This window comes from Homo sapiens, chromosome 11 (assembly GCF_000001405.40).
Source record: "Homo sapiens chromosome 11, GRCh38.p14 Primary Assembly".
Taxonomy (NCBI): Eukaryota; Metazoa; Chordata; class Mammalia; order Primates; family Hominidae; genus Homo; species Homo sapiens.
Genome location: NC_000011.10, coordinates 119,885,357 through 119,893,252, shown reverse-complemented (window position 1 = coordinate 119,893,252; position 7,896 = coordinate 119,885,357). Strand labels below are relative to the sequence as shown.

At 52.2% G+C, this 7,896-nt stretch overlaps 2 annotated features.

Moving 5' to 3' along the window:
* Window positions 304-4,232: an enhancer, noted in NCBI's record as "VISTA enhancer hs1915". NCBI's record gives its function as "enhancer in: midbrain (mesencephalon)[6/9] | heart[4/9]" and the evidence as "EXISTENCE:transgenic organism evidence [ECO:0001131][PMID:17130149]".
* Window positions 5,832-6,331: an enhancer, noted in NCBI's record as "H3K4me1 hESC enhancer chr11:119757631-119758130 (GRCh37/hg19 assembly coordinates)". NCBI's record gives its function as "activates a minimal SCP1, AML or CMV promoter by ChIP-STARR-seq in naive H9 embryonic stem cells {active_cell/tissue: H9 hESC(naive)}" and the evidence as "EXISTENCE:reporter gene assay evidence [ECO:0000049][PMID:30033119]".

Here is a 7,896-nt window from a genome sequence, read left to right as displayed (position 1 = left end):
TCAGAGAACTTTCTTGCCTGTTACACAGGCTAAGACACGTAAGATTATTCTACAAAGAAAACAGAAGCATCTCCTTCCTGGGACCCTTGTAGAAACTATTGTGTTTCAGGCAAAAATGATAATAAACATGTGTTGAGGGCCTACTGTGTGGTGGGCACTTCTGTGTGCGTCATCTCATGGAGCCCTGCTAGCCCTCTGCAGGTGTTTTCCTTTTATAGAAAAGGAAGCCCAGGCTCAGAGGAGGTTAAGTGCCTTGCCCCAGTTACAACTATGGTCCGAGCCTCCTCGCCCCTGCCTGCACCCGGCGACAGAAGATGGACAGACAGTATGACCTTCAGAAAACCTCTGTAACCCGAGGAGTCTCACCTGGGCTTGCTCAAGCCATCAGCAAAATGGAGATCTGAAAATAATCATGCTCCATTCAGAGTGTTTCTCTTCTCTCTCAGTAATACATTCTCCCGACATCCAGCAGAGCAGGGGGGTGGCCGGCCCAGGGCACTGACTGACATCTCTGAGCAGAGCTTTTCAGTGGACGGAGCGCAGACGGCATTGCGTCTGCAGAGGCCCGCGGGCAGGGTGATTGCTGGGCTCCCGCAAGAACAGGCGGTCCTTGGAGGCTTTTGACTCACACTTTGTAAATTGGTTTCATGCATGGGCTAACAGTGGGGGCCTGGCTAGATAATAGGATTTTCCAACACAGCTCTTTCCCCCTCATCTGCAGCCACCCAAATCTCCGTGCAGAGTGCCTGGAGGGGACGTGATGTGCTTGGCAGGGAGCGCCACGTCAGGCTCCACAGTCCTGGTTGGGGTGATGCGTGTCTAAGAGGCCATGGTTCAGAGCAGTGTCGGAGAGCAGCTTATGTGCTCCACAAGTAAGGATGGGGGGTGTCCCAGGCAGGCACCCACAGCCAAACCTTTCCATGGTGGGTGGGTGTGTGGGGGTTCTCAGGAAGTGCCAGGTCCTCAGGAAGCAGCCTGTGGGGCCAGGCTACTGCTCACGGCTGACTGCAGGGTACCACCAGCCTCGACTGTCCACAGCAAGTCCCTCCATGCCCAATCTGACCCAGAGGGAGGCACATCAGAGCCCAGAAGCCCAAGCAGCCCAAGGGCAACCATATCCCAGAAGCAGACATTCGTGAAAGTGTTGCTGGAGAAGCGTTCTCAGGAGAAATGGGGAGAAGGAAGGAAATAAGGATGTGGTCTGGGCCCGAGATCAGCTTCAGTCTCAATCCACCGGGAGCTTAGGAGCACAAATGATACCACAAGGTCAGGCTCACCTTGAGGCAAGGGGCCCGGTCTTTTTTCCCTACTGTCTGTTAGTCGGTCATCAGCTGTTGGCTTAGGGCAAGGGAACTGAGAAGGCATGTAGCTAGCCTCTGATGGCAGGCAGCTCCTACTCAGCTCAGGTGAATTATCCAGAGAAGGGGCAGCTGGGGGCTTTAGTGGCCAACACACACAGGGGCTGGGGGATGGGCTGCACCCATCCAGCAAAGGGGACTTGGGGGGGTACCAACATCCCTGCACCATGCCCATGGGAGTACAGCCAGGGCACAGCTCAGCTGGAATGCTGTCAAGAGCAGCCTGGTGATTCTGACTTGTAGAAAGCTAGAGGGCCGACGTGCCAGACAGCTGTACAATGGGCAGTGTCTGTGACAGCCTCAGCCATCCCCCAACACCCTTACGCTGACACTACAAAGCCAGTGATTCTCAAATCTGCCCTCTTATCTTTTCCCAGCAGGGCCACAGGGCTGCAAGTTTCATCAAGGGCAGCATCTGGGAGCCTCTGCCCAGGGCCCCTGAAGCCAGGGCCAGCCCCATCTGCACGAAGGCACACAGACACCTATCAGAGTTAGTCTGTGACGATCCAAAGCCTCCTACCCAAGAGCCTTTAATACAAGTTTGCTGCTGAAACACAAATATCCGCCTTCGATGCGGAAGAGAGATTAAATTAGGAACAATCTTAATTCTTTCTGGCAGAGGGAAGCGAGCGAGAGCTGTCAGTTCCCCAGTGATAGATTGTTAAGGAAATCCAGGTTTAAAGGCATTTCATAAGTTTGCTTTTGCCTGCTAATAAAGAGAGTCAGCTAACGGAATCCGATCACCAGGCGAGATCGTAATGAGATAATGCAATGTGTTCCACAGAGACCCAGCCAGCTCCTTGAAATTCCTCCGAGAGAGTTTCTGAAGTACCACGTTGTGACAAGGAAGGAAAAGTAAGAGGAAAAGAGAGAAGGGGAAATGGGCATAATTAGCCAAGTAGATTAGGTGATTCAACAAAGGTCATACGGTCTCAGCAGGCTGAGGGGCTGTGATATTTATCACCTACCTCCCACCTGCTTCTTGGTCTCCTGGCCTGCGTGCTTTCTCAGTGAGACGAGCAAGCTCAGACTCATGTTCCTGGAATATGCAGAGATTGGAGGCCTGATCACAAGCAAGGTGCCTGGAGTCCTCACCTGGTAGCTGGGAGTGGGCCTCAGCGGAGTCTCTTCCAATACCCCAAGGGTTTGAGGGAAGGGGCTGTGTTCTGAGGGACCCTCAGCCTAGGCTTGAGGTCACTCAGCCCCACGTCCAGCTGGCTGTCAGCTGCGCACTGAGTGTTCAGGTTGGGTGGCTGCGATAGCTTGGGCTCTGCTTTAAAGGTGTTTGGCCCCTGCCCTGGGGGTTGTTCTGGGGCTGAATTACACCCTGGGTTTATGCCGTGGTCTGGGCTGGGCTAACTCTGTGTGTTCACCTGGACATCAATGGTCAACCTATTTGGCAAACCAGAAAAGCAGACTCATCCACATGCAAAGAAAATGTAATTCCGGGCTTAAGGCAATAAAATAAACTTCCAAACTCCTATTTACTATTTCAGCAAGCTCAGCCCCCACACCCACTCGGCTCTTGTCACCACCCTTGTAGGCATGGACCACCTTTTTTTGTTCTAAAGGACTTTGAGAATCTGAAGGCTATGAAAACCTCTTTCCAGAAAAAGTGCAGATACACATAGACACCAAGTTGTCATGTAATTTTAGGGGCTTACAGATCCTGATCCTGAATCCTAGCTTTCAAAACTCTGGAGAGGAGGGGGTGATCCTCTCTTTGGTGCACCCTGTGCAGACAGATGCAGCCCAGGCAGGAGGCCGTCTGGAGCTGGTCCGGCCCTAGAGACAGGGAGGGCAGTTGCATTTCCTGTACTGCCCAGATTGTGTTTCCAGGCCTCTGGGTATCTGGGGTGAAAGAGAAGCCAGTGGCCAGCAGGGCAAACAGTGGTGACCGTGGAGGCAAGAAGTGAAGGCCAGGGATGGTGACTCGCAGGTGCAGGTGGCAGCCCACATGATTGTCTCTTATCTTGTGGGATCTGTCACCCCCCCTCTGTTCCCTAAATGGCCCAGTAGATGGTCCCTTGGAAGGAAAAGGGCTTTTGTACATGCTTGGAAGGCAGCACAGAGTAGGTGCTGGGAGACCAAGTCCTCTGCTATAGCCAGAGGGAGAAAACCCCAAGGGACAGAATGGTGCTGGCTACATGGGAGAGGTAGAGGTAACTGAGGCTCTGGAGCCTGGAAGGACTCCCAGAGGGAGGATGGGTATGGGGTATTGGAGACTGCTCACTTCCTGCCCGGGGACTGGAGGGACTCTGAGCTGACTGTATCCATAAGTTTAGACACAGCCGTTGGCGTTGCTGCCTAAAAGGGGCTTCTTTCTCTCAGTGATCACTAATGTATCGTGTCCCTGTAATTGTGTATTGTATTTTGGCGTTGGTGCATCCAGAGGAGATTGGAAATCCAGATCGAACCCTCTGTCCCTGGCAGGACATCCATCACACACTGAGGGGACTGGGTAAGGTGAGGGAAAGGGGCAGAAAGTCAGGGGGTGCTCAGATGCAACCAGAAAAAAGTGGGGAGCCAAGCAGGGGAGGATTTTCTCTGGATCTCGGAAACCTTTGTGGCCCAGTGCCCGGCTAGCAATGCTTACACTGCTCATGTGTCTGGACTTGCAGAGAGGATCAGGGTGTGGGGAATGGGGGCCCTGGCATCCCAGGGGCCTAGACTTGTCTCTCAGTCATTCAATGACGAGCATTACTTGGGTACCATCTTATGCCAGATACTGTTCTAGGCACTGGGGATACCACAGGAAACAAAATAGACCACGTTCTTGGAGTAGGTATGCTAGTGGAGAGGCTCAGGCATGGATCCTGGTCTGCACATGTGGGGACCAGATGCCCCACCATCACCAGATAAGCTCCCCAGCCTCCCGCTCTTGCAGGGTGATAGGATAGACCCTTCCTCAAAATGGATCAGGGGAAGAGCTACAGGGCCTCTGGCCCCCATCCTCCCACCTCCATCTCCTTGAGCTAAGAAGACAGACATCAGGGTCCATCTCCTTCCACCACCCACCTCACCAGGGTCTGGGTCTGGCTCTGGCAGGACTCGCTGAATGGGCTGTGGCTTGTCACTTCCCTCTCTGCTCCTTGGCATTCTTAACTCTAAGATGAGGCTAATGACACCAGCTCCAGGTGTCATCACATCACCAGAATTCTATTAGGACCATGGAACCCACAAAAAGTCTGGTCGGAGAAGAGACTTCAGGAATCCTTGAGCCCAATGGCCTCATTTATATAAGAATAAACCAAGGTCCGCAGTGGCTCCTACTGAGATCTTGTCTTAGAACGCTCCTGATGGATGAGAGGCTCTTTGTAAACATGAGGGGTTGTTTTGCTACTTTTGCTATTTTTCATTTGAGGTCCACTGGCTGGCCTCCCACGGCCCAAGCAGAGAAAGGAGGCATGAGCCAAGAGTCCCCTGTGGGTCCCCAAGTCCTTCATTTGTCCTCAAAGACCTTGTTGGCCTCAGGCCCCATGGAGCTCCCCCTGCTGTGACTTCCCAGTCCCTCTAAGAGGACGGAAGCTGTTTATTGCTTTCTTGCATGGTAGGGGAGGCTGGAGTTATAGGCTAATTAAACCACAGACAGATTCCTCAGCAGTTGGCTGGGACCATAAGTGCTGTTACAACAGTAAAAGGCCAGAGATGACAGATGGAGCTTTTCCAGGATTATGTCACCACCGACCCCGAACATGGCCTCCACTGCACCCCTCAGCTTCAGGGCCATGCTCCATAGGGTGATTGCTCTGCACCAGGGAAGTCTATAGACGATTAGGGGAAAAAGCAAAAACAAAAGACAGGAGTGGAACGGGCTTAACCCAAACGCAGTGTCAAGAAGTAGCAACCTGACCACACTGTGGTATCCCTGAAAGAATAGGAACCTGTCCAAGATTCTTCTCAAAGGGAGAGCAGGGATGTTCTTCCCAAAGTCGAACTGAAATCCCTTCTGCTGCCAAGACAGCAAAGGGATGGGGACAAGGAAGATGATTTGCCAAGATACAGACACCAAGAGCTGGGGAAGGGTCCTCCATGATAATCAAAAGCTACCCTGGGGCATGTCCTGATGGATCCCTGACAGTTGCCCCAGTCAGGGTTCCTGCCTGTTGCACTGCCTTCAACCCACCTTTTTCAGGAAGTTGACCTCGATGAGATTAAGCCAAAATCTTGACTTTGTTTTCTAGGCTACCCACAATCGATGAGCTGGAGGGAGGGAGGAAGAGAAAGGCAAGGAAATGATCTCACCATTAGAAATAACCTTCAGGGGAAAGTCTTCATCTGGTTATGGAGTCAGCCAGGTTGGCTCTGGGTCCCCTCTCTGCTGGTGCCCAGTGGCATTGGCTTGGACAGTTCATGTAACCATCCCTGGGCTTCTGGTTCCTCCACTGTAATAAAAACAGCTGAATGTTCCTCTCTTGTGAGTATACTGTGAAGCTCCAGAGAGATCATGCATTTACAACTGCAAAGTGCTCGGTAGAGATGAATTGTGGTTTTTCAGCCACTCATCGGAGAACACAGGCTCCACGAGGAGCTAGAACCTTCTTTACCCTGGAGAAGAAATCCCCTCTTTCCTTGATAATGAATTCCTTGGAGCTCGCAGAATGAGAAAAGCCACGCTAAAGTCTAATCTCACACCCAGCTGTGGCCAGGTTGCTGAAGGGACAGACCCAAACAGCAACTGTGAGACGGAGGAGCTGGAGCTCAGAAGAGGCCCGGCTCCCACCTCCCTCCAGCTGGGAAGATGGTACAAATTTGGCCAGTCCATTCCTCTGTTTCCCAGCTGCCCGTGTTCCTCAAAACCTACAAGGTCACTCGGCCCAGCTGGAGTTCTAGCTGGAGCACTGACATGATGAGATCTGACAGCGCTTTCTCCCGCCGCCAGCCCAGGGCATGGACGGAGGCTGCAGGCTGCTGGTAGAGTGGGGAGGAGTAGCTGTGTCTCGGCCTGGGCATGGCCTGGGGAGGCCAGGAGGACCAGAGGTGCTAAATGACAGAAAAGCTGAGGAGCAGGTTTGTAGGAAGTCCCCCGGCACTCCCCTGCCCACCTCCCACCTGGCACCCTCACCACACACCTCATGCTCTAAGACCAGCCCCAGTGTTCAGGAGCCACCAGCACTGGGGTTGTCTGATTGGGTCACCCCATGGATGGCAGCCCTGCAGGAAATGGGTGAGGACAAAGAGGGGCATCTGTGATCTGCAGATGCTTACGTTTGCCATAGGGCTGGGGTCCCCAACTGAGAGCTCATCTCCCAGGTCATGTCTTTTGACAGACCCTTTCTGTTCTCCTAGTTGGGAAGAAGAGGAATGAACACTTGGAAAGCCCCTGCTTTGTAATGGACTGCGCCAGCCACGTAAGCTCCCTTATTCATCCATGGTGGCAGACAGGGACCCTAGGGGACAATGACACACTCACACCCCACACTATGAAGAGAGTTTAGAAATGTTTACAAAGGTGTGGGTGGAGTCTAAGGAAACCAGCCAAAGGTAGTGTCATGTCCTTGCCTGGCAACAGCAGGGCCCTTACCCCCCCACCGTGGGCCTGGAGGGGCAAGAGAAGGAGCAGGTACTGCCCCTGCAGAGACCAGCAGGGGAGGTCTCTGGGGAGGGCTGGGGAGCCTGGGGAGGGCTGTCTGATCCAGGGATGCAGCCTGCTTATGAGGACCCTGCAGGGAAAGAATTAGGGAAATAAATCCCCAATTTTCCTGTTTTTCTCTCCCCCATGTTCTGCTGGTGCTACCCACTGGCCTGACACAGACAGAAGCCAGAGAGCAAGGGAGCTCACTGATGCCATCCAGCTGGGGAAGCCTTGGGTGTGGGGCCAGGGGCAGAGCAGGTAGAGAGTAGACCTAGAGAGGTAGGCAGCAGGTGGCCAACATGCAGGAGATAGGAGTGACTCCTTTTACAAGTGCCCAAAGTCAACAGCTGATGACGAAGCCAATTTTTATGGCCATGCTCTTACTAATGTCTTCTGTCAAATCACTTATCTCCAAGAAAGTAAGACAGGAGGTAAAAGAGGACAGGTCGTAGGGTCTGTGTAACCCACTCAATCCAAGCTTCCAGCTCCAGCAGCTCCCTAGCCTCTGGTACTCTGAAAGTCCCTCAGGTCTACAGTGTGGACAGATTCTAGCCCAGCTTGGCCATCAACTGGCTCCTGACCTTAAGAAATGCCTTAGGCTCTCTGGACTTCAGTTTTCGCATTTGTGGGGAAAAAAAGTAACAAAATGGTCAAAAATAATTATCTCTCTGTTTTCATTACAAACAATTTTAAAGTTAAGTATTCACATGTACACACAAATGACATTGTTTGGCATAAAAGTCAACCCATAAATGCAAGAGAAAAATTGTTCTTTAATTCAACAAATTCTTATTGAACAACCTACAAAGTACAGCCATTGTTCCTGGTGCTGGGGACACGACAGCACACAAAATAGGCAGGTGTCTACATTCATGGAGGTTCTGGTCTAGTTGGAGGAGACAGACAGTGACAAACGAATACACAGTAATGTCAAGTGGAGATAAGTGGTTTGGGGAAAAGAAC